Source organism: Homo sapiens, chromosome 7 (assembly GCF_000001405.40).
Source record: "Homo sapiens chromosome 7, GRCh38.p14 Primary Assembly".
Lineage (NCBI taxonomy): Eukaryota > Metazoa > Chordata > Mammalia > Primates > Hominidae > Homo > Homo sapiens.
This window is the reverse complement of record NC_000007.14, coordinates 26,290,502-26,316,676: the sequence shown is the minus strand read 5'-3', so window position 1 is coordinate 26,316,676 and position 26,175 is coordinate 26,290,502. Positions and strand designations below refer to the sequence as shown.

Genomic DNA, 26,175 nt, shown 5'->3' with positions numbered 1-26,175 from the left:
GTGATCAACAACAGAACCTAATTCTATATAATTATTACAAAGTACAAAGAAGTTAATATGTATAAAACACCTGGCCTAAAGCCTGGCTCATAACAAGCACATAGTAATTGCTGCCATTAATTATTATTATTAGGCTTAAAACCAAAAAACAGAACTACAGTTTGTCATTTGTTTTCCCCACTAGCACAAGCTCAGTGAAGATGAGTGTGGAAATGCCACAAGAGTTAAGGAACAGGTGCTTTCTTTCCCTCTGGTTACTTAATGCAAGGCAAACCCATTACGGTTAAAGGATAATGTAATCACACCAATGATTCATTGTTCCCATCCATAACCTTGGGTTTCTGGAAAATCCTGGGTTGCTGTCAGGTCTGAAATCATGTGATTCTAAGCCAATTTACTAATTAAGCTAGACCAAGAATCCAAAGTTGTCATCTGCTGCAAGGAAATGAGATCCCATTTTTTTTACTCTAGGTTTTTTGTTTTTTTTTTTTTTTTGAGACAGTCTCGCTCTGTCTCCCAGGCTGGAGTGCAGTGGTGCGATCTCGGCTCACTGCAAGCTCTGCCTCTGGGGTTCACGCCATTCTCCTGCCTCGGCCTCTCAAGTAGCTGGGACTACAGGCGCCTGCCACCACGCCCGGCTAGTTTTTGTATTTTGTTTAGTAGAGACGGGGTTTCACCATGTTAGCCAGGATGGTCTCGATCTCCTGACCTCGTGATCCACCCACCTCAGCCTCCCAAAGTGCTGGGATTACAGGAGTGAGCCATCGCGCCCAGCCAACTCTAGGTATAATTTTAAGCAAATAAGTTGCAAAAGATACCTTCTAAATACAAATTTGATAAAAATATAAAATCTCAAATTTGTCAGCTTCAATTTTATTTACATAAAAGAAAGCACCCCCTTTAAAACTGCTTTTCTAATAGAAAATATAAATTCACTTCATTTTGTATTATATTCGCTATCTTGCAGTTTTAAAACCCTATCAAGTATTTTGCAATTTTTTTTTTTTTGAGATGGAGTCTCACTCTGTCGCCCAGGCTAGAAGTGCAGTGGCGAAACCTCAGCTCACTGCAACCTCCGCCTCCTGGGTTCATGCCATTCTCCTGCCTCAGCCTCCCGAGTAGCTGGGATTACAGGCTCCCACCACCAGGCCCTGCTAATTTTTTGTATTTTTAGTAGAGACGGGGTTTCACCATGTTAGCCAGGATGGTCTCTATCTCCTGACCTTGTGATCCGCCCACCTCAGCCTTCCAAAGTGCTGGGATTACAGGCATGAGCCACCACACCCAGCCATATTTTGTGATTTTTAAAAAGCTATGACACTTTTGGGACAATGGGGATAGATTAATGTGACCCTGTTTATTAGATAATGTACTGTATAAAGTTAAATTTCCAGGATATGATAATGGCATTATAGTTATCTAGAAAAATGCCTTTCTTCCTAGGTTCAACTCTTGTAAACAAATATTTCTATGATCACATCTATAGGGTTTTCTGTGCACCCAAACATACAAATTCATTATTTACTCCTGACCAATCCAATTAATACATTTTGTTTAAATTGCTTTTCTGATTCATTTTGGTGGACTCTTTTCACTACATATGGCTTCTATTTTGATTCTTTTTCCTGCTATTTTAATCTGCTTTCTAGTCCCTTCCTTGGTTGTTTTTTTGTTTTGTTTTGAGACAGTCTCACTTGGTCACCCAGGCTGGAGTACAGTGGCACAATCTCAGTTCACTGCAACCTCTGCCTTTCGGGTTCAAGTGATTCTCATGCCTCAGCCTCCCGAGTAGCTGGGACTACAGGTGTGTGCCACTACACACAGCTAATCTTTGTATTTTCAGTAAAGACAGGGTTTCACCTGTTGGCCAGGCTGGTCTCAAACTCTGACCTCAAGTGATCCGCCCGCCTCAGCCTCCCAAAGTGCTGGGATTACAGGCATGAGCCACCACGCCTGGCCTGTTCTTTTTTCTTAAAATACTTTATGCAGAATCCCATGCAGTTCACAGGCTATATTCTTGATACTCAACTATGAAACTGAAAGCCACTAGAAAAAAAGGGAACTGCATATACTACGGAAATAGTTGCTAAATCTCAGCAAATTCACAAGTCAATATAACAACTAAAAGCCCAAGGGTTTCAGAGCAATGTGTTTTAAACAAGCCACACAGGACCCATATTATACTTAGTCATAATATAAAAATATTGCCAGTCTGGCTAACATGGTAAAACTCCATCTACTAAAAATTCAAAAAATTAGCCAGGCATGGTGACACACGCCTGTAATCCCAGCTACTCGGGAGGCTGAGGCAGGAGAATCGTTTGAATGGAGGCAGAGGTTGCAGTGAGCTGAGATACCACCACTGCACTCCAGCCTGGGCAACAGAGTGAGACTCCATCTCAAAAAAAAAAATTGAACAGTAGGCACATTATGTCCTTTACAAGAATGGACTACCCTTTGAAAATATATTGACAGACAAGCCATTTCAGTCTAACAAGATTAAAAAGGAATAACTTTTTTAAAAAGAAAATGGTATTTGTTACCTGTCAGAAATTCAGGTTCTTGGGCCAGGCGTGGCGGCTCACACCTGTAATCCCAGCACTTTGAAAGGAGACTGAGGTGGGAGGATCACCTGAGGTCAGGAGTTCGAGATCAGCCTGGCCAACATGGGGAAACCCCGTCTCTACTAAAAATACAAAAATTAGGTGGGGTAGTGGCATGTGCCTGTAGCCTCCCCAGCTACTCGGGAGGCTGAGACAGGAGAATCACTTGAACCCAGGAAGCGGAGGTTGCAGTGAGCCGAGATCGCGCCTCCACTGCACTTCAGCCTGGCGATAGAGTGAGTCTCCATCTCAGAAAAAGAAAAGAAAAAGAAAAAAGAAATTCAGGTTCTTCAGCACTCAGGATTTCATTACCAGTCTGATGACGGCTCAATTTCACATTTTTTTTTAATTATTATGCCACAAGGGAACAATGATCCTTAGGAGGAGAGAGAATGTGGGGACAAACAGGGGGTGGGGTTTTCTTACATGAATGTTCAGGAAAAGGACAGACTTTAGCCACACTCATTTGGCAGGGCCCCCAATTCGTCTAATGCCTAAATTATTTAACCCTTTGTTAACAGGCAGCCTTTAAAGGCATATCATTCCTCTGAATATTCTTTGCATAGAGTCCCAGATATAGTAGGTCCTCCCATGCTGGCAAAACAATCACAAAAAGCTCAGTTAAGCAAACTCAGCCAAAAAAGGTGCATCAGGTAGTGAAGCAACAGCATTGGGAAGAAAGACATCAGTTTACAGGTTCTAACAAGATCAGGAGTCCACTAGATTAATTAAGCAGCTCTAAAGATCTGCTGTACAACATTGCGCCTATGGCTAACAATACTGTATTATACACTGGAAAGTTTGTTAAGAGGGTAGGTCTCCTGGTGAGTATTCTAATCACAATAAAATGTTCTTTTTTTAAAAAGTGGGGGCAGGTATCTGCTAAATGGTTTTTAGTTAGCCTCGTTCTCTTTTTGTGGCTGTGTACTATTCCATGATGTGAATGCAACACACTTCATTTCACCAGCACCCACTGATAAGACATTCTCGTGCTACTATGAACAGTACGCAGTAAATACCTGCATGAGTAAATTTCTGTAAGTGGAATTGCTGGATCAAGCCATATCATCTGAATCATCAAGATATTGGCAAAGCAACGTATTTACAAATGAGTGGGTTGTTTTCCTGTATCTTCCCTAACATGATCCGTTTGCAAAATGTTTTATCTTTGTCAATCCTAGATAGGCAAAAAATGGCTTATTTCAATGTGATTTAATTAGTATTTTTTTTCAATTATGCATAAGAGCAAGCATTTTTCATGTGTTTAGGTGCCACTATTTTCTTTTTTTTGAGACGGAGTCTCACTCTGTCACCCAGGCTGGAGTGCAGTGGCGTGATCTCGGCTCACTGCAACCTCCGCCTCCCGGGTTCAAGCGATTCTCTTGCCTCAGCCTCTTGAGTAGCTGGGATTACAGGCAAGCGCCAACACGCCTGGCTAATTTTTGTATTTTTAGTAGAGACGGGGTTTCACCATATTGGCCAGGCTGGTCTCGAACGCCTGACCTTGTGATCCGACAGCCTCGGCCTCCCAAAGTGCTGGGATTACAGGCTTGAGCCACCATGCCCGGCACCACTATTTTCTTTTATACAAATTGTTTATGTCTTTCAATCATTTTCTTACAGAGTTCCTGTTCTTTTCCTTATTGGTTCATAGGAGTTCTTTTTGTATTAGGGAAGTTAATCCTTAATACATAACATAAAGTTCAAGTATATTTTTCTGGTTTGTAATCTGTTTGTTTTGCTTATGGTGGTTGCTATGCCAATACTTTTTATTAGATAATGAATTTTATGAAGGTTTTCCTTATGGCTTCCAGGCTTTGCACCATCCTTACAAAGACCACTCCTACTCCAAAGTTATAAAAATATTCTCCTTTAGATTTTTCTAGAGACCAGTCATCTGTGAACAGTGAAAAGTTCTGTTCCATGGTCATGAATTACATCCTTGCCATAATGTGCTATGGGCCATAATGTACAGAAACTAAATTTTTTTGAAGTAACTTTTGTTTTCTGATATTGTGTAATTTATAAAGCACTGTTCCATGACAGCTGACGAGGCAGGCAGTGCAAGACTTATTTGTCCTACTTTACCAGAGAAGTTAAATCACTGCCCAAAGCCACAGAGCCTGGTGCAGACACAAATGCAATGCCAGCTGTTCTCTTATCTCCTCGACACTGCCTCTCTCAACAAAAGGGCAACATCCACGTGCGTGAAAATCTTAAAGGATGTCTCCAAAGTCTTGTTCATACAATTTCAAAATAAAATAACTTTTCTATTCCAAAACAGTATTTATTTAAGTGGGCCACACAGTAATCCAATTAAACAGTGACTCAGCCTCAGAGGGCTGAGCCAATGTTCTCATCAATTGACAGAATTCCATGTTCCTATAGTGTGCCTCTATAACCCTTCAAAATTTAATTGAAAAGTAAGAGATGTAAATGTTCCCAGATGCCCATGGATTCTGTGAAGAGCTGTGTTTCTCAATTTGAAGAGATGGAAGGCAAGGTATGTCTAAATCACCAGGGGCTCTTTTCAACCCCACACACCCTGACAATTCCCTCCCCCCAGTGCAACAGCCCTACACTACAAGAGTATCTTATGCCTTCTCAAGTATGTCAATGATAGAAAAAAATTTTAAGCCACTGGCCAGGTGCAGTGGCACTTTTGGAGGCCGAGGCGGGAGAATCGCTTGAGCCCAGGGGCTCCAGACCAGCCTGGGCAATACAGTGAAACCCCCTCTCTACTAAAAATATTAAAAATTAGCCAGGCCTAGTGGCGCAAGCCTGTAGTCCCAGCTACTTGGGAGGCTAAGGCATGAGAATCCTTGAACCCGAGAGGCGGAGGTTGTACTGAGCTGAGATCCTGACACTGCATTCCAGCCTGGGCGACAGAGCGAGACCCTGTCTCAAAAATAAAAAGAAAAAGAATTTAATTTAAAAATGTTAAACCACTGTCCCAGATAACGGGGTATGCACTTACACAATCCCTATAAGCCTCGCCCCTTCGGTTCCCTGGCCACCCCCTCAGCCAAGCTCTTCTGTACACTCCAGGTGTCTTTTCACAGAGACCAGACTATTAATAGTTCCTCAGCTTGGCCAGGCACGGTGGCTCACGCCTGTAATCCCAGCACTTTGGGAGGCCGAGGTGGGCGGATCACGAGGTCCGGAGATTGAGACCATCCTGGCTAACACGGTGAAACGCCATCTCTACTAAAAATACAAAAAAATTAGCCAGCCGTGGTGGCAGGCGCCTGTAGTTCCAGCTACTCGGGAGGCTGAGACAGGAGAATGGCGTGAACCCCAGGAGGCGGAGCTTGCAGTGAGCCGAGATGGCGCCACTGCACTCCAGCCTGGGAGACAGAGCGAGACTCTGTCTCAAAAAAAAAAAAAAAATTGTTCCTCGCCAGATCCTTCCTCAGTCCCCTCGTGCTGCTGTACTCTCGACATTCTCCCCTTTCCACCTCCCCACCCCCAACTCACCAAGGTGGCTCCTTCCCAGCTTCAGATCTTGGTTTAAAGGCCACCTCCCCAAAGAGGGTTCCCTAACCACCCACTAAAGCAGACTCCCCTAGGAACTCTATCCTTTCATTTTCTCCTCGGACTTTGTCGCAGTCTATATTAATTTATTATTTATCTATTAATCTATTTTCTTGAGGATTATATGTCCTCTGAAAAGTCCCTTGAGGGCAGGGACCTTGCCCAATTATTTATGCTTTACAACTTTAGCACTTAGCACAGTGCCTGGCATATTGTCAGTGCCCAGAAAATATGCAGTATATTAAATTTGATTGAATGAGTTCCAGCTGGTTTTCTCCATTTCTGCATCTCCATCAAGTTTCTAAGCCGCCCAACCACCTGGGAAGGGAAGATGGGTTGACAGTCGCCCGCCTCTCGGGCCAGCCCACCTGTGAGCCCACTCATGGTTAATCATTCGTCTTGTGAGGAAAGAAAGCATTTAGCCAGCAACAACGCAGAGTGAAGTGGCCTCTGTTTTCTATCTTTCCTCCTAAACTAACTCCACTGGACTGTGGAGGATGAGACTGGGGAATAATGTTAAAATTATGCCATTAAAAATCCAAAATAGCAATAAGGCCAAAAAAAATTGTTTACTATGTCCCAGACACCGTGCAAAGCTTGCAACATGTATTATCTCATCTAATCCTGGTAAGGGCCCCAGAGGCCAGGTATCATTATTACTTCAATTTTGCAAATAAGGAAAAGGCACCTAAGGCTGTGCAGCTGATCAAGTGAAGAAGCCAGGATCGCGGCCCAGGCAGCCAGACTCAGAGGAGCCCTCACCCTCACCACAAGGTACCCCTACATCCAACAGGGCACCCAAGCATCCCCCTTAGAAATAAATGCTTAAAAGACAGCAGTGAGTGAAAAATACCAACCCAAAGTGAGTTACTAACGGCTCAAATGCTTTAGGGATGAAGGTTGGGGGTAGAGTTCTTCCCACATACATGAACCCGGGAGAAGCCAACAGCCGGATACCTGAAAAGACGTAATACTTATCTTCCGAAAAGAGGTAATACTGAGAAAAGTGCAGTGCATTCACTCGGCAGACCTGGTTAGGGTCACTAGCTATGAAGGGCCACCTAAGGCTAAGCAGAGGACAGTGGCAAGTCAGTCCAGTACATAATCACTGAGAACCGACTGGGTGAGCGTTCCAGGTTTGGTCCTGGTGAGGGATTTTTTTTTTTTTTTTGGATGATTAAGTAACACTCCTTGAGTTCTAATACCTAAAGATGTCAAGACTCAGATATGAAACAGGCCACTTCTAACGCAATGCTCACTGTGATGTGCCAGAAGAACTGCACTGATAGCAGGGCTAACCGGAAGAATGGAGGGGGAGGCTTCATGGAGAAGGCAAGGCTTGACTAGGTCTTGATGCTCGCATTAGGACAGGCAGAGAAAACAGGACCAGCCTGTGGTGATTAAGAGGCAGTAATGAGTTTGGGAGAAGTGAGGGGCCCAGTCCCCCATGAATGGAGGGCTGTGCTGGCAGAATATCACAAGGGGGTTTGTCTGAAGAGCTGTCTGAGAAACTCAAACTCAAAGCATTTTTTTTAATTCTCTTACTCAAAGACAATCGATCAACATAGAAGATTGCTGTGACCAAGTGTGTGGGGACTTCTTCCCACCAACAAGCAAGCAATCAATTCTGCAGTAGATACCAGCTGGGTGTCCTCCAACCCAGTTCAATTCTGACCCTACCTACCTGGGGACATTATCAGATCCCAGAGGTTGAGGCTCAGACCCAAATGACTGCCCCCACTTAAAGTGCCCATCTCAAGCCCCAGGCTGTTTCGCCTGTGCTTCTGACTCACTGGCTATAAACTGGGGATCCCATGACCTCCTCCTTGGGTTTGATTAATTTGCTAGAGCGGCTCACAAAACTTATTACTGGTTTATTATAAAGGATAGTACAAAGGACACAGATGGAGACGCACAGGACAAGGTATGGGTATGGAGCTCCCATACCTCCCCAGGTGCACCACCCCCCAGGAACCTCCACGTGTTCAGCCTTCCAGAAGCCCTCCAAACCCTGTCCTCTTGGGCCTTTTACACAGACTTCATTGAACAGGGATGACTGAAGCAGGGGCAACCATGCAGAAATATGATTGGACAAAAAGGACATGACCCAATACTAACAGACTGAGTGGGGAACCCAGAAAGGCCTGTCTGTTCAGATTCTTCTGGGCCGCTTGGTGCAACATTGCTTCCCCCAGGGTAAAGGGCAGAACCCCTCCTGAAATGAGGGTCTTATGATCTACAATCAGACAAGGTAAGTCTGAGAATTTCTTTATGGAAACACAGGGGAAGATTAGCCTTGGGGAGAAAAAGGAGCAGGTTGAAGGGAGAACAGGAGAAAGTCAGCAAGAGGTACTGTTTTCTGAGGCCTGCTTCTGAGGCCTAAAACACCCAAACACTGTAACAAGGGCTATGGGATTTATGGGCCAGGAACTGTGGACAAAACCAACATATATATCATAATATCACAGGCTGTGGTAAGCATTTTAGGATTGGGAAGTCCCTGAAGAACAAAAGGAGGAATTTGGACTTCTATCCTGTTGGAAGGCAGGGATGGAGTAAGTGGAAGCTTGACATGATGGCAGTGATTCATCTGGGATGGGTGTTGGAAGGATTGCCAGGGAGAGAAATTACAAGCCATGAGCTTCATCAAAAGACTGATGAAGGTAAACTACAGACTGTCCACTTTGGGTGATGATAATGTATCAGTGCAGGTTCATCAACTGTTACCAATGTACCCCCACGGTGCTGATGTTGATAATGGGAGAGGTGGGTTATGGGGAGCAGGGAAGCTCTGTACTTTCATTTTTGCTGTGAATCTAAAACTGCTCTAAAAAATAAAGACTATTAAAAAAAAAAAAAGAATGCTAGCCTGGGCAACATGGCAAAACCCCATCTCTGGAACAAAAACAAAAAAAAATGCAAAAATTAGCTGGGTTTCATGGCACGCACCCATAGTCCCAGCTACTCAGGAGGCTGAGGTTGGAGGATGGCTTGAGCCTGGGAGGCAGAGGTTGCAGCGAGCTGAGATCGTGCCACTACACTCCAGTCTGGGTGACAGAGTGAGATCCTGTCTCAAAGAATACAAATAAATGAATAAACAACAAGAAAAACTTGGACACAGGGCATGATTGAGAAAAGGGAGTCAAGGATGACTCACAGGCCGGGTGACTGGAAGAAGACTGGTGTTCCCAGAATGGGGAAGTTGGAAAAGGGGGGCTGTTTTGAGAGGTAAGAAAGAAACTGGAACATGTTAGGGTGTTGGGGACATCCAGACGGGAGAGACAGTCTTTAGGCGTCTGGAGAGCAGCTTGGGGCTGAGATAAGGAAAGGATACAGGGATGCAGATGAGAGAAAAAAATTCAACATTTAATGTTCTGCTTTTAAACAGAGAGAGAAATTCTCTTTTCTAAAGGAAAAGCATCGCAACTCACTGGAAATAACCCTCTTTCCTTCACGGTGCCTCTGTCATGAAGATCCACTGCTGAGGAGCAGTTTAGAGGGGAATGCCCCCCTAAAGTGAGCAGGATGAGCACAGTGAGTGGTAAAAGTAGTGTGAGGCATTTGACTCCAGACCACCTGGTTGTGAATTCACATTCTGCCCTTTCCCAAATTACTTCATCTCTGTGCTTCAGTGTTCTCATCTGTAAGAGGAGATAACTGCCTGCTTCATGATCTACTGTAAAGATCAAATGAGCAAGCATGGAGGCCTGTGCCTGGCTCCGACTGTGCCAGCTGCAGTCACTGTTCATTCTCAGACTTTCCCAGGACCCCCAATATGAAAAATGCTGAGGTGCCTTCCTCATGATCACAGAGCATTTGTTCCTTTACAAAAATTTTCTGTCTGGGCACGGTGGCTCATGCCTGTAATCCCAGTGCTTTGGGAGGCTGAGGCGGGTGGATCACTTGAGCCCAGGAGTTCGAGACCTGGGCAACATGACGAAACCCATCTCTACAAAAATACAAAAACATTAGCCAGGCATGGTGGTGCGTGCCTGTAGTCTCAGCCACTCAGGAGGCTGAGGTAAGAGATCACCTGAGCTCAGGAAGCTGCAGTGAGCCATGATCATATCACTACACTCCAGCCTGAGTGACAAAACAAGACCCTGTCTCAAAAAAAAAAAAAAAAATTCTCTTCAAGCATCTTTTTTGTCAGATAGGATAATAATGTTTAGGGAGCAGAATATTTTAAATCTAAATGCTCTGAAACTCAGCCACACTGTGGCCACTCCCTGCAAGAGTTGGATCATTTACTCACGGATGTCCAATGCCTGGCCTTGATCTAAGAAGCCTAAGATAAGTAACACAAGAAAGTCCTTTTAAAAAGTGGGTGAAATGTGGCCAGGTGCAGTGGGTCACGTCTGCAATCCCAGCACTTTGGGAGGCCAATGCGGGTGGATCGCTTCAGCTCAGGAGTTCGAGACCAGCCTGGCCAACCTGGCGAAAACCCGTCTCTACAAAAAAAAAAAAATACAAAAAATTTAGCCAGGTGTGGTGGCTCATGCCTGTAGTCCCAACTACTCCAGAGGCTGAGGCACGAGAATCGTTTAACCCTGGGAGGCAGAGGTTGCAGTGACCCACGATTGCGCCACTGCACTCCAGCTTGGGCGACAGAGAGAGAGATTCTGTCTAAAATAAATAAATAATTTTTAAAATAACAGAAGTGGGTGAAATGCCAAAGTTATTATTCTTAAACTCTTACTTGCTGGCAATAATGACTGTAATCCAAGGGCATTTGACATGTGTCTGTCTACAGACTCAGTTTGGCAAAGTCCTCAAAATAGACGCCACCGTTTTTCAAGGTTTCCCAACCACTAGTGAAGCAAGGTGACTAGCAAATCGCAGCATCCGGTCTGCGTCTGGTTGTAAATCTTTAAGCTGATTTCCCAACATAGGAAGTTTCCTGTGTGTTTAGACAGAAAGAGCTCAGTTTCTCAGGGTCTGATCATCTGCAGACAAGCTGATGAAGAGACCCCAAGTTGTTTGCTGTGAGATTCCAGAGCCCAGAGCTACAGTAACACTGCCTGCCCCCTAATCCAGACAGTGACCTTCGGGGGCAGCAGGAAGAGCACATCTTCTCCCCAGCTCTTCCAAACGCCACTCTACAATAAGAGCTGCTACATCAGTGAGAAAGGGGAAGATAATTACAGTGTGATAGAAAACTCTTTTGTGTGTGTTTGTATTTATAACTTCTAAGGAGTGTTGGTTCCCTACATATAAAGCCCGTTGTTCTGCCCTGTACTTTGACTTGGGTTTGTAAGTTGAAGAGAGGAACTGGGGAGTATCCATAGTTACAGAGGAAGAAGACTGGAGCTCACGGACAAGTGAGGGGGATGGAGTGAGGGGTAGGGATGAGAGGAGGAAAGAGGGACCCAGGAGACTATGCAAGATCAGGAGCCCCACAGGGGACTCCAGTGAAGTCCACTCAACTAACAAAACACATGGTAGTAGTGGTGGTGGATTTCTCCATCCATGAGGGAAGGGGCTGAGTTTGTGTCGGGGCTGACACCAAGGTAAAAAAGAAAGCACATGAGGCCTCCCCCATCCACCCCCTCCTCCAGGGAATTCGCAGAAAACCTGGGCAGGGCTTTGGATTTCCCTGGGCCGGGCTTTGGATTTACCTGGGCCATGGACCTGTGGGTTCTCACCAAGCTTAATCAGCTCTCTAAGGAGATTAAGGAACCCGGAGTTAAAAGATGACACCGGGGTTAAAAAAGAATGTGTGATTCTTCCCCAAAAGTAATTAAACAGTTTGATTGCACTATTTAGCATCAAATGCCACAGGAATGCACTGAAAAGCAAAGAATTAGGGAGTACCCATCCCCATTTGTGTTCACAGGCCTTATACAGCTCAAGTTCTTCCAATGAAATGTGGTAAAGTGGGACTGAAACAAACAACTGCAGTTGATAATTCTTGCATACCTCCCCAGACACACCCCCACTTCTTTCAAGGTTCCAGGACAGTCAAGCTTGTGCGGTGTAATCCCCCCTGACCCTCTCCCATCTGCCCACACCCCTGGCCCTGCCACCAGACTCAGCCATTTCTATGGACACATGGCAGGACTGGAGTGACACGTTCTGATGTACTTTAAAAGACTGCTCTGTCTGCTTCTGGAAATTGGATCGGAGGGGAACAAAGTGGAACCAGAGAGACTCGATCAGAAGCTAATAGGAAAGTAACAATGGCAACCTGAGATTCGGGGCAAGGGGGTACTGAATTGGAGAATCAAGCAAGACCTTCAGAGAGCTCAGAAGTGGGCTGAAGATGAGAAACGGCTCCTAGGTTTCTGGTCTAAACAAACAAATGGAAGGCATAGGCCTTCATTCAGATGGGGAAGGCTGGAGGAGACGGTGCTGGGGTGAGTAGGCAAGCCGAGGAGGAGTGACCCAAGGCTACAGAAGCCAAGTTTCCAAGCCCTAATCTGCACAGTGCACCACCACGTTCCCACATCTCGCTTTGTATTCTCAATTCTATGTTCCTTTTCTTACAGAGGACCCCAAACTATGTAAGTGTTAGGCCCTTACAAAACTGGGGAGAGGATCAAGTATTGGGCAAGTTAATATGAAATGTCTGTGACAAACCCAAGAAGCCACAGTCAAATTCAATGTTAAATATCTAAACCTGGAGCTCTCAAGAGAGCTAGATATCCACACCAGGGAATTAGTAGTTTATTAACAACACTTAAAGTCATAGAATGAAACCAGCTTGTCCTGAGTGTGTCATAGCCTCTGGATCACCCAGGAATAAGATACAAGTCCCTAGGTCTCATCCTAGAACTACTGAATTGGAATACTGAGACCCAGAAATCTGCCTTAACAAGTTTTGCAGATAATTCCTATGCACAGAAATGTTGGAAAACCACAGATCTAGGGAGAAAACATAGAGAAAAGAAGAGGGCTCAGAACAGGCCCCAAGGAGCTGTCAATTGGAGGAATCAGAGAAACCAGAGAAACAAGCAAGGGAATGGAGCAGAGTGGCCAGATGAGTAGAGGAAAGGTGAGGAGTTCGGCATGATGAAGACAAAAATGTACAAAGAGGGTCGGAGGAGCCTGAAAGACTGCATCAGAGGGCAATGAGCCCTTGGATGGGAAGCTGTGTGCAGGCAGGGCCAGGCAGGCCACACTGAACCATGTGCAAGTAGAGAAGCCCCAGCCAGAGAAACAGCGACGGGGAGTTAGAGGACTTGGGCCTTGGGAGAGGAGTGAAAGTGCAGCTTCAGTTTTTGACTTTCCAGTTCCAAGCAGTTGCCTTTGAGTTGTCTGCAGTATCCTTACATTAAGCCCCCAACTCCAATGCTAACTTAGGAAAGTTTCTCTTCTTTAAAACCAGCAACAGCTGAAGCACAAAGGGATGAATTTGCAAGAATACTGTAATCTTGAAAGAATCATGACAAAGCCTTTCAAAGACTTTAGGGGATCTGCCACCAACAGAGTTGAAGCTAACGCATTCTAATTCTTAGTAGCTGATTTTAGCTGAGGAGGATTCTTAATCAATGTGTTACCTCTGATCTCCCTTCCTTTAGGGTCCTCTCATTCTCTCTCTCATTTCTGAGACCATCAGAAACAGGTTTTTTGTTTTTGTTTTTGTTTTTGTTTTTAGATGGAGTCTCACTCTGTCGCCCAGGCTGGAATGCAGTGTGATTTCGGCTCACTGCAACCTCCGTCGCCCTCCCATCATGTTGGCCATGCTGGTCTCAAACTCCGGGCCTCAGGTGATCCACCCGCCTCGGCCTCCCAAAGTGCTGGGATTACAGGCATGAACCACCCTGCCAGGCCAGAAATAGATTTTGCCTAGTGATGGCAAAACTGGGGTCAGAACTCCAAGCCCAGCCTTTGTGGGTATGCAGCAAAAGTGGTCACCAGGGAGCAGGGAGTACCAGAAACCGAGGGTGCACCCCGCAGAAAGCAGCCACGCTGGTGAAAACAAAGAATAAGAGTGCACAACACACAAGACGAGTAAGGTATTACCCGAGGGTCCTGGGCAATACGTAGGCCAGGCTGGGGCGTACTGTGCTTAAGAGAGAAGCTGTACAAAAACGTGAAAGAGGAGGCTTGCTGCACACAGAGGGAGACCATGTGAATGGAAACACAGTGCTGAGGTGGGGTTGTCTTGGGGCTGCAGAGGTGGCCCCCATTGTCACTGCTGGTGCCAGCCTGCGTAGAGTCCATCTCCTGCCTGCAAAGGAGTTGGCTCTCAAGGTCACGTCAGGGCAAGTGCCCTACACTGATGAGAGCTGTGTAAGATTCTGGGCCCACACAGCTTGAGATGGGTCTTTCTGTTTCTCTGATACCCAGAGAACTTTGACCACATGCTAAAGGGACCTTTGCAGAATCAAGGAAGCATAAAAAGGCACAAAGAAGGAAAATGCACACCTGAGATGGAAAATGGGAAGGGAGATTGGAAAAAAAGGAGATGAAAATAACCTCACACCACTGATGTCAAAGTTAAAATGCTCTGAGGTATTTTACAAAGCCCTGGTTGTCTATGGTATAAGGGAAAAAACGTATGACCCAGTCCCCAAGTTACAGCCTTTTATAATCTACATGGATTATGTTTGAGGATCAGAAGTGGTAACCTCAGAGTCCTATGCCTAACGATGTACCCAGTATGACTTTTAAATTTTTCCCTTAATAAAAAACTTTTAAATCAGAGAGAGTGCATTTTGACTCTAAAAGCAAACTCAATGGTGGGACTCTTAAAATAAAGTACTGGAAAAAAAAATGGGTATGGGAACAGCTGTGGCTCAAATCCTGTCTCCTCCATTTGTTCAAGTCATGAAATATCTCTGAATTGTCGAAAATGTCTGTAGCATCTCCTATATCACAGGAATAATGAGATAATGTAAACTGAAGTACCCAGGACAGTGTGTGGTACATGGTTGAGTACTAAATAGATGTTTCCATCTCCTTCCTAAAACATGCCATGCCAAATAAACACAAAATGTTCCTGGAAGCATGTCAGAAAGCCTTGTCACACTCCTTGGACACAGGACTTGTCCTGGGTGAAGTCTGTCTTTGGCCTTTGGTGCCCCCTTTGGTTCCCCCTCACCCTCTTTTTTGTTCTCTCATCCCCAGGAATCCAAGGCTTCTTAAGGCACAGCACCTTGGAAGCTATTAGGAATTTAGTAGGCATTTCCAGCCTGAATCTAAAAAGGAGCTCAAGACTTCCCTTTCCTATCTTCCTAAGGGATTCGGACCACATAGGGAAAAGAAAAAATCAAGGACATGACATCTGTAGTTCATTATAAATTCTGCCTTGCCAGCCACCTTTCTTGAGCACAAGAGAATATACACATTTAACTATACCAATGAGTAACATAAGATCTGGCCTTGTTAATGCCAGAAAGCCTGGTTAGACATACACTCTGTGTGTGGTTTTTGGGGGGATTTGGGAAGGGATAGTGATGCTGAGAAAACACCAATGAATACCAATGATGAAGTAACATAACTAGTTTTAAGCTATACTCAGAAAACACAACTAAACTGAGAGATGATGGCTTTTTTTTTTTTTTTTTTTTTTTTTGGAGACAGAGTATCACTCTGTCACCCAGGTTGGAGTGCAGTGGTACAATCTCGGCTCACTGCCACCTCCACCTCCCAGGCTCAAGTGATTCTCCCATCGCAGCCTCCCGAGTAGCTGGGACTACAGGTGCTCGCCACCACACCTGGCTAATTTTTGTATTTTTAGTAGAGATGGGGTTTCGCCATGTTGGCCAGGCTGGTCTCGAACTCCTGAGCTCCAGTGATTCACCCACCTTAGCATCCCAAAATGCTGAGATTACAGTGAGAGACACGGTGCTCGGCCTAATTCTTTTAAAGCACTTAAAGACCACGAAATCCAGGGTAAATCACCCTTCTGAATTAAGCAATACTCTTGCTGCATACATCCTGCCTTCAGAGATGGAGGCTGGGATAAACCTTTTAAAATAAGTAGCAGAAAAGGCAACTGGGAACACTCACCTGGAAATTCAGAGGACCAGGTCTTCCACTCTAGCAGAGACCACCCCTCCCTAGGCAGTTCAGCTGGGAGGCTCTAGGCAGGAGGGCCCTGTTAATACTTCAAATCATTTTGTTATTTTTTTCCACAGGTCTTAAGTATTATTTTATTTCAGGATAACAGACTTATTATCTTTAAAAATAAAAGATTTAGGGCTAGATGTAGTGGCTCATGCCTGTAATCCTAAACCCTTTGGGAGCCAAGGCAGGAGGATCCCTTGAGGCCAGGAGTCTGAGACCAGCCTGGGCAACACAGCAAGACACAGTCCCTACTCCCCTAAGCCAAAAAAAAAAAAATTATTATTTTGGCACTTTGTTTTATTTTTATTTATTTTTGAGACAGAGTCTCGCTCTGTTGCCCAGGCTAGAGTGCAGTGGCATAATCTCTGCTCACTGCAACCTCTGCCTCCCAGGTTTAAGCAATTCTCCTGCCTCAGCCTCCCGAGTGGCTGAGATTACAGGCATGCACCACCATGCCCAGCTAATTTTTGTATTTTTAGTAGAGATAGGGTTTCACCATGCTGGCCAGCCTGGTCTTGAACTCCTGACCTCAGGAGATCCACTCGCCTCGGCCTCCCAAAGTGCTGGGATTACAGGCGTGAGCCACCATGCCCGGCTTTTCTATTCTTTTTAAAAGTTTTTTTGAAAACAGAGACAGGGTCTCACTATGTTGCCCAGGCTGATCTCAAATTCCCAGGCTCAAGCAATCCTCCCACCTCAGCCTCCCAAAGGGCTGGGATTACAGGTGTGAGCCACTGCACACAGCCTGCACTTTTTATACTTTAAAATTATTTCAAAGTTTGGGGAAAAAAATAGAAATATAGGCCAGATGCGGTGGCTCACACCTGTAATCCCAGCAGTTTGGGAGGCCAAGGCGGGCAGATCACGAGGTCACGAGTTCGAGACCAGCCAACACGGTGAAACCCTGTCTCTACTAAAAATATAAAAATTATCTGGGTATGGTGGTGCTCACCTGTAATCCCAGCTACTGGGGAGGCTAAGGCAGAAGAACTGCTTGAACTTGGGAGGCAGAGGTCGCAGTGAGCTGAAAAAAAAAATCAGAGGCCAGGCACAGTGGCTCACACCTGTAATCCCAGCACTTTGGGAGGCTGAGGCAGGTGGATCACAAGGTCCACCAGCCTGACCAACATGGTGAAACCCCGTCTCTACTAAAAATACAAAAATTAGCTGAGTGTGGTGGCACATGCCTGTAATCCCAGCTACTCAGGAGGCTGAGGCAGAAGAATCGCTTGAACCCGGGAGGCAGAAGTTGCAGTGAGCCGAGATCGCACCACCGCACTCCAGCCTGGGCAACAGAGCGAGACTCCATCTCAAAAAAAAAAAATTGCTGAAATCCTCCATAATGCCATTCCCTTTCCCTTTCTAATCTCACTCTCCACAGGTAATGACTGTCTACAATTAGGGGCATATCATCCTTCCAGATTTTTTCAAAAAATAAGATTGTATTTCTCCCACTGTTCTTCCACTTTGCTTTCATTACTTAATATACAGTATAGGTTGAATTGTGTCCTGCCAAAATGCATATAGTAAAGCCCTAACCCCCAGTGTGTTGGTATTTGGAAACAGGGCCTCTGATGGGGTGATTAGGTTTAGATGAGGTTAAAAGGGTGGGGCCCTCGTGATGGGACTGGTGAGACACCAAGCGGAGATACCAAGAGCTTGTTCTCTTTCTCTCTTTTTCCACCATGTGAGGACGCAGCACGAAGGCGGCTGTCTGCAAGCCAGGGAGAGAACTCTCAGTAGGAAACAAATCAGCCTGCATTTCCCAGCCTCCAAAACCCTAAGAAATAAACTTCTGTTGTTTAAGCCACCCAGTCTATGGCATTTTGTTATGGCAGCCCAAACTGACTAACATAATGCATAATGAACATTTTCCATTTTGGCTCATTTGGAGCAACTTCCTTTTTTCAAGTAGGCAAGTATTTCAGAGGGATAAGGTCCTAGAAGTGGAAGTACTGATCAGAAAGTATGCAAACTTTAAAATGTTATAAATACTGCTAACGTGCCTTTCCAAGAGATGGTACCAATTTACACTCTCCGCCATATATAGTGACAATCTATTTTCCCACACCTTCGTCAACACTGGATATTACAAACCTAAGCAAAAAGGTTTCATGGTTTTTAATCCACACTTATCTGATTATTAATAAGATTAAGCATTTTTACATATATATGTGAATTACCTATGAATAGCCTTTGCCCATATTCCTGCTGGATTGTTTTTCCTATTGATTTCTAAGAGTTCATGCCTGTTATAGATATTGCAACTATTTGCTTTACTCCTTTGTCATCTGCCCTTTTTTTTGAGACTGAGTCTTGCTCTGTTGCCCAAGCTGGAGTGCAATGGCACGATCTCGGCTCATGCAACCTCCACCTCCCGAGTTCAAGTGATTCTCTTGCCTCAGTAACTTGGATTACAGGCACCTGCCACCATGCCCAGCTAATTTTTGTATTTTCAGTAAAGATGGGCTTTCACCATGTTGGCCAGGCTGGTCTCGAACTCCTGACCTCAAGTGATCCACCTGCCTCGGCCTCCCAAAGTGCTGGGATTACAGGCGTGAGCCACCGCGCCCAGCCCTGTCATCTGCCTTTTAACTTTGTTTATGGTATTAATATATTCTTCCTTACTTTTTAAAAAATGTGTTACATATATATCTATAATATATATAATATCCATAAGCATATACTAAGGCACATAAAGCAACATATAGAGCCAGCTTTATGAAATAAGAGGTGAGAGAGAGGCGGCAGAGGTGCAGCCATTATTTCTTGATATTTTACATGTATTTCTAAAAATATTACTTATAACTAAGGAGAGACAAACAAAGGGGCAGGTATGGAAGGCCCTGAAAAATCTGTTTCCTGCAGAGGAAGAAAGATGTGAGGAAAGAAGGAAGGAGGATGACCTGGGGGAAATCCCACCTGCCAGTCTGCAGTGGGGAAGGACAGATTGGGGGTGCCTGAGCTGTGAAGATGGGAAATGTAGCCAAAGTTCATGTTCAAATAAACTACTAGACATGAAGTATAATCTTTCATGAAATTAGGTCTATCAATATTTTCCTTTATGGTCTCTGAATTTTATTAAACTTGAGGTCTTTCCTACACCAAAGTTATTTCTAAAAACCATCTTCTGGCCAGCTGCGGTGCCTTATTCCTGTAATCCCAGCACTTTGGGAGGCCGAGACGGGCGGGTCACGAGGTCAGGAGTTCAAGACCAGCCTGGCCAAGACGGTGAAACCCTGTCTCTACTAAAAGTAAGAAAATTAGCCAGGCATGATGATGGGTGCCTATAACCCCAGTTACTTGGGAGGCTGATGCAGAGAACTTATTGAACCCAGGAGGCAGAGGTTGCAGTGAGCTGAGATTGTGCCACTGCACTCCAGCTTGGGCGACAGAGCGAGACTCCGTCTCAAAACAACAAAAAGCTCTTTAAAACCATCTTCTATATTTACATATATTTTAATATTTATAATTTTGGTTTTGACATTTAATCTTTAAATGGAATTTACTTTTGTGAATGGTATGAGTCAGGGATCTAATCTTTTCCAAATTGAGAGGCAATTTTCCCAAGACTTAGTAACAGTCCATTTTATCATACACTCAATTCCTGTCTTTACAATGGAACCATTTCTCGACTTTCTATTCATAGTCCCAAATGATATATACTTTCTAAAATTTTTTTTAGACATGGGGTCTATGTTGCCCAGGCTTGTCTTGAACTCCTGGCCTCAAGCAATCCTCAGCTTCAGCCTCCCAAAGCACTAAGATTACAGGCGTGAGCCACCACGTCCTACCTACCTGATATATTTTGATAGCTGGCTGAACAAGCCTCTCCTCAATATTCTTTTTCAAAAATGTATTGCCTACAAGTACAAATCTATTTTCCAGGTAAGCTTTATTATTATCAGTTTGTAAAATTTAAGTCGTGTTAAAAGTCTGGCCTAAACTATTAAAGGTCTCATTACCTCTTAGGCTTTTCTTATTTTTCTTATTATTAGTATTTCTTTTTAGAGTTGGGGTCTCACTGTGTCACCGAGGCTGGAGTATAGTGGTGAGATCATGGCTCACTGCAGCCTCCAGCTCCTAGGCCCAAGTGATCCTCCTACCTCGACCTCCCAAGAAGCTAGGACTACAGGTGTGTGCCGCCACACCCAGCTTTTGCCCAAGCTGGTCTCAAAGTCTTGACCTCAAGCAATCCTCCCACCTCAGCCTCCTCAGTCACTAAAATTACAGGTGTGAGCCACCAGAACCCAACTCTTTTAGTCTTCTTTTGTCGTTGGAGCATCACCCTTCAGCCAGGAGATGGCTTACTTCCCAGTGAGCCACATACTATGCAAAAATCTCAGACTTCAGGGAATTTGGGGGTTATTTGTATTTATTTATTTATTTATGAGACAGAGTCTAATTCTGTTGTGCAGGCTGCAGTACAATGGTGCAATCACAGCTCACTGCAGCCTCAACCTCCTGGGCTCAAGCGATCCTCCCACCTCAGCCTCTTAAGTAACTGGGACTACAGGCATGCGCCACCACACCCGGCCCAGGGAATTTTGTTTGAATTTCTAAATCTCTTAGCAAAAACTTTCCAATACGACAATTCTACCAAGAGGTCTGAATGGCTGCCTGTGCCTCAACCAATGCATGTCTGCAACATTCCTCTTCTTCTCCCCAAACAGCTTTTCTTTTCCTGGCTCACATCTCTCCGAGTTGTAGATTCCCATACCAAATCAGAGTAAAGTGGCTCAGCTAACAGGATCACATGCCAAACGATGTCGTATTTTGACAGGCACTTCCAGGCAGCTTTGCTGGCCTCATGCATTGGACAGCTTGGTGAGAGAGCTGGGGGTCTCTGGCAATTCGTAATTGATTGATCTGGCACCACTTAATCCACAGGGAACTATCAGGCTATAATGGAAAGAATATGAGACTGGAAGTTCAGGAACCTGAGTTTGAGTCCCGTTTTTACCTCTAATTAGCTGTGTAGTTCAGATTAAGTTATTCTGCCTCTCCATTGGGCCTTGGTAGCCTCATTTGTAAAATGAGATTATTAGAATAAAATGGTGAATAATGACTTTCTTTCCACCATGGGTGACCACGTAAGAATCTGAAGAAAGCTACAGATTCTCTCCCCCAGAATAATGCACTTTTGCAGATGAATATGAAATCAGGCTGGCCACAGTAGCTCACACCTGTAATCCCAGCACTTTGGGAGGCTGAGGTGGGTGGATCACTTGAGCTCAGGAGTTCAAAACCAGCCTGGGCAACATGGCAAAACCCCATCTCTACAAAAGTATCAAAAAAAAAAGTAAAAATGACATCATATATTTGAAAGGGGTTCACAGATCTGATAAAGACTATTTCCCTGTCCCCAGAGGCAAGATCACTGAGGCCTAGCACAAGATTTTAAAAATAACAGAGACTACAATAGAAATACATACTGAATCACAAAGCCTTGAGTAAAGTTGAATCACTTGTAGAACTAAAAGCATCTCTTCTGCAGAAACTGGGAGCAAGGAGTAGTTACTTAGGGAAAAATAAATGTAAGTATCAATAGGAGTTGCCCTTGACTGAAGCCTGGCTAAGCCCTTTACATTCGCAGGTGGGTGGCTGAGAGTTACTACTGATTCCAGACCCAGGCTCCTAGTTCAAATTTTGGCTCTCGCATTACTAGTTGTTTGACCTTGGGCTTTGTGCCTCAGTTTCCACATCTGTAAAAAGAAAGAAGAAGGGGAGAAAAACAATACCTATCTCAAGGGTTGTTAACGTACTTAGGACACTTGTAACAGGGCCTACCACACAGTAAGCCCTAGATAACTATTAGCTTATAACAGAAATCTGACACACATTTGTTGGGTAGTTAAAACTGTAAGCTGAGTTTAGAGAAATCATAAATACTCTGATGGCTTAGTTTCCCCAGAGGTAAACTGAAGACAGTAACAGAATCTGCTTCATAAGTCTGTTGTGATGCTTAATGAGACTGCCACATAAAAACTCTTTCACAATGCCTGGCCCATAATTAAGTGCTCGATAATGTCACGATGCCTGGAATATAGTAAGCACTCGATAAATGTCAGCTGTTGTATTAACAGTTCTGGGAAGCAAAGATTACCATCACCCTTTTTTATTTCTGAATAACAGGCAACTCAGAGAGTGTTAAGTGCCCCGCCAACAAAACTATACTTAGAAAATTATTATACCAAGATTTCAACTCAGATGGGTCTGGAATCACAAGTTCTAACCACTACACTATATACCTTCCTCTTTGAACAGGGCTTAGAGAACAGAAGAGCTAATTCATACCTACCAGATTACTAAGAAAAAGATGTTTGGAGATAACAATGCTAAATTTGGGGGATTCCCCACAGAGTCAACCATGAGCTTGGCCAAAAGCCCTTCTCCGCCATGCTAGGAAATGAAAATCTGCATAGACTGGCCCCTGTTCTCAACCAGTTGTCTGCCTTTCACCAAGTGGTTGTGAAACCACAGCCCTGTCACTAAAAACGGAAAAAAGAAGTTATTTTCCCCAGTAACTTAACGAGCAAAATGAAGCCTTAAAATGAAAGTAGTGATCCTAGGGCTGAGAAAAGATATCCACTGCTCCAAAGCCCAGCAGAATTGCTGTAGAACACCAACGTTACTCTTTGATTAACATACTTTTATTTTTTTTAATGAACGTGCTTATTTCTATTACTTTAGGTTACCTAACTCAGGGGTCCTTCCCATTAGTAAAATAAGAGGAAGTGTGTACCAGCCTGGAGGGGAGACTCCCTGGTGGGGCACAGTGTCAGCCTGAGCAAGTCCCACTGTCAACACTGATGTCCTCCCCAGTTAAATGGTAATCAAAAGTGAGAATGAAATGGACTGGTAGAAGAAACAGGACGACCAGTTGAGTCCATGCTAATCACTGATATTTCACATCTTCACACAGTTTCTTCTAAATGTATTTTATTTTTGTATTTTTATTAAAAACTGCCCTATCAGTCAATCTCAAGTCTACCCTTCCTTTAAAAAATAGTAATAAAAGGCCGAGCGCAGTGGCTCACCCCTGTAATCCTAGCACTTTGGGAGGCCGAGGCAGGTGGATTGCTTGAGCTCAGGACTTCCAGACCTGCCTGGGGCAACATGGCAAAACCCTGTCTCTACAAAAAAAATACCGAAGTTAGCCAGGGGTGTGGTGGCCCGCACCTGTGGTCTCAGCTACTAGGGAGGCTGAGGTGGGAGGATCACTGAAGCCTGGGAGGTGGAGTTTGCAGTGAGCCAAGATCGCACCACTGCAATCCAGCCTGGGTGACAGAATAATACCTTGTCTCAAAAGAAAAAGAAAAAAGTAAATAATATTAAGAATAATGAAGGTCCAGCTATGTACCTACCTTAGGAATAGGCATCACTGGAAGTGATGGCAGAGGCAAGGCAGGAGTCCCTGACCTCACCTCCATTCTCTCACTGAGGAGCCCCTGCAGAAGCTGGTCAACTATCCAAGCAGTCCCTGCTTCTTCCTGGCGAAGGCCTCAGCCTCCAGCCCAGCCCCCTCCTGGGAGAGGAGGGGGAGCTTATGCAATCCAAACCCAGTTCCCAGGCCCCAGAGGTGGACATAACTCCGGGGTGGAAGTCAGAAGCCTGCCAGGTTGTAGGCCTGGTTCTGCTCCCATCTGGCTGAATGATCCTGGTCCCAACACTCAGCGTCCCTCGGCCTTAGCCTCCCTGTCTGTAAAATGAAAGGTTTGATGGAGATCATGTGCAAGCCTCCTCCCCGTTCTAATTTTCTGATACCATCATTTTTAACGTGTCTTGTAGAGATAGAAGCCCTTCCTTTCAGCAGGACATGTTGCTCCCCATTCCGTGACGATCCCCCTCAATAATCCGTGTAATTTGAGAAAAGTATGATGCATCGGAACTGAAAAACAGGCTGTTGCTTTCCTGGTCACCAAATCTGATAATCAGTCAATTATATGGATTTTCCCCTGGGCCTTCTCCCTCAATCCCACAATCCCACGAATAAACCTGCCTACCCCTCCCAATTCCTCAACTCAAGGCTACCCGTTAATGAATGAATAAAAAAATAAATAAATAAATTTTAAAAACCACCTCCCCACCCCCTTCTACCCGGCCTGGTGTAAGGTGCCACAGCACTTCTTCCGTAATCTAGAATCCACCTCTGCCCCACCCTCTCCCCGGGGTGTCTTTTTAGCCAAGAATCCCTGGATCGACGCGCTCCATCTCCCCGCTCTACCGCGCTGATCATTTCTCCCTGCCCGGCACACCTCGGCTGAAAAGGAGGCGGCTCCTCTGCTCCAAGCCCAAGGGACCCAAACCTCTTTCCAGCCCGCAAGGGTGCGGGCACCTGGGAACAGCGGGAAGGGCCCGCGCCTCTGGAAAGAAGGGCCGCCGTCCCCACCTGGGCGGTGCAGGGGAGGCCCCCTCAGCGGGTCTCTTGTCACTTACGGGCGGCTCCTCCGGGCAGAACAGAGCAGGGCCGGGCCGAGCCGGGCTTGCGGGCCGCGGAGTTTGCTGACTCAAAGGCGCGCGGCGGCAGCGGCGGCGGCGAGCGCCCAGGAGCGCACACGAGCGCAGCCCCGCGCTCCCCGCGCTCCCCGCGCTCCCCGCGCACGTAGCGGCCCCGCGCCCGCGCTCAGCGCCAGCCGTCCGCCTGTGGGCGCCGCGCCTAGTGCTTCCGCCGCCTCCGCGCAGCCCAGCCCAGGTGCGCCCCCACCCTGCAGAGCTAGCCTCCTGCTTCCTGAAATTGAGTTAGGGAGGAAATGCCCCCATTAGTCCGGACGTTGAGGCTGGAGGTGCTCCAGCGGCACCCTTCGGAATTCGCCACCTGAGTCACCTTAAGCTTCCTAACCCTGACCCCACAGTTATGGGGAGGATTGCCGATGGGGAGGAGGACGGATAAATAACGTGATAAACAAGAATGGCAGAATGTTCATAGCATCTAGGTGGTGGGCTATGGTGTTTATATAAAATTATTTCAGTTTTTGTCTATGTTTGAAATGTCTCAATAAAACATTTGGGGGGAAAGCTAATGAGATCTGCCAAGGGACCTGACTGAGGAAAGCATTTCCCAAATGGCACCTGAGGCTGGGTCCCCACACCTGTTTGCATGGGAAACCACAATCATCACTTAAACTGCTAATAAGTGACTGAATGACACAGAATAATAAGCATAGCCTAATATTTCATTTTTCAAGCATGAATTTTCCCATTAGATACAGCTTGTCGCTGATCATCCTCCAGGGACCATTCCAGGCCCACCTGAAAACGCATCTGTTCACCACACCTACATTAACTCCCTAACAAAACGTATAAATATACAATGTTGTGTCTTAACATCTTGGATCTTGAAGTTGTATTGCTGAACCCTCAATCACTGGTATTTAATTTCCTAAAATTGCACCCAAGTCATGACACACAAGTGAATGCAACCATGATCACTTTTGAAAATCAAATTAAGCTGGTGTGGTGGCTCACGCTTGTAATCCCAGCACTCTGGGAGGCCGAGGCGGGTGGATTACAAGGTCAGGAGATGGAGACCATCCTGGCTGACATGGTGAAATGCCGTCTCTACTAAAAATACAAAAACTTAGCTGGGCGTGGTGGCGCGCGCCTGTAATCCCAGCTACTCGGGAGGCTGAGGCAGGAGAATAGCTTGAACCCGGGAGGCAGAGGTTGCAGTGAGCCGAGATCATGCCATTGCACTCCAGCCTGGGCGACAGAGCAAGATTCTGTCTCAAAAAAAAAAGAAAGAAAATCAAATTAAAGTGTATTTTTTATATTCTTGTCCCTATGCTCCGCAAAGAAAAACATTGAGTAGAAAACAAAATGCAGCATGTATCTAAGATCCTAAGAGATTCTGTAAAATTAAAATCTTTCTGAACTTATTGTCAAGAGCATGACTTTACAGCTGTAGACAAAGCAGCAACAAACCCTTGGAGAGTCTACTGAAAGTCATTTGAATATCTGTTAGAATTTTGACCCTATTAAGACTGGTAACTTGGGCCGGGCGCGGTGGCTCACGCCTGTAATC

At 45.2% G+C, this 26,175-nt stretch overlaps 1 protein-coding gene across 6 annotated transcripts in view, besides 5 other annotated features; it reads right to left on the bottom strand.

The window, feature by feature from the left end:
• The window catches only part of SNX10 (sorting nexin 10), an 82,522-nt gene extending 57,707 nt beyond the window's left edge, over positions 1–24,815 (bottom strand). The window contains exon 1 of one of the 6 annotated variants that reach the window (NM_013322.3): positions 24,591–24,815. The gene's annotated coding sequence lies outside the window, so the exon portion shown is untranslated. Of the gene's footprint in view, positions 1–23,518; positions 23,647–24,543 lie in introns of those variants that run through there. The other 5 variants (NM_001362754.1, NM_001362753.1, NM_001199835.1 and 2 more) reach the window with 5 other exon arrangements.
• Positions 13,389–13,888: an enhancer, noted in NCBI's record as "H3K4me1 hESC enhancer chr7:26342409-26342908 (GRCh37/hg19 assembly coordinates)". NCBI's record gives its function as "activates a minimal SCP1, AML or CMV promoter by ChIP-STARR-seq in primed H9 embryonic stem cells {active_cell/tissue: H9 hESC(primed)}" and the evidence as "EXISTENCE:reporter gene assay evidence [ECO:0000049][PMID:30033119]".
• Positions 13,889–14,390: an enhancer, noted in NCBI's record as "H3K4me1 hESC enhancer chr7:26341907-26342408 (GRCh37/hg19 assembly coordinates)". NCBI's record gives its function as "activates a minimal SCP1, AML or CMV promoter by ChIP-STARR-seq in primed H9 embryonic stem cells {active_cell/tissue: H9 hESC(primed)}" and the evidence as "EXISTENCE:reporter gene assay evidence [ECO:0000049][PMID:30033119]".
• Positions 22,781–22,830: an enhancer, noted in NCBI's record as "active region_25788". NCBI's record gives its function as "activates an Ori minimal core promoter by ATAC-STARR-seq in GM12878 lymphoblastoid cells {active_cell/tissue: GM12878}" and the evidence as "EXISTENCE:reporter gene assay evidence [ECO:0000049][PMID:35858748]".
• Positions 24,322–24,401: a silencer, noted in NCBI's record as "silent region_18037". NCBI's record gives its function as "represses an Ori minimal core promoter by ATAC-STARR-seq in GM12878 lymphoblastoid cells {active_cell/tissue: GM12878}" and the evidence as "EXISTENCE:reporter gene assay evidence [ECO:0000049][PMID:35858748]".
• Positions 24,552–24,791: a silencer, noted in NCBI's record as "silent region_18036". NCBI's record gives its function as "represses an Ori minimal core promoter by ATAC-STARR-seq in GM12878 lymphoblastoid cells {active_cell/tissue: GM12878}" and the evidence as "EXISTENCE:reporter gene assay evidence [ECO:0000049][PMID:35858748]".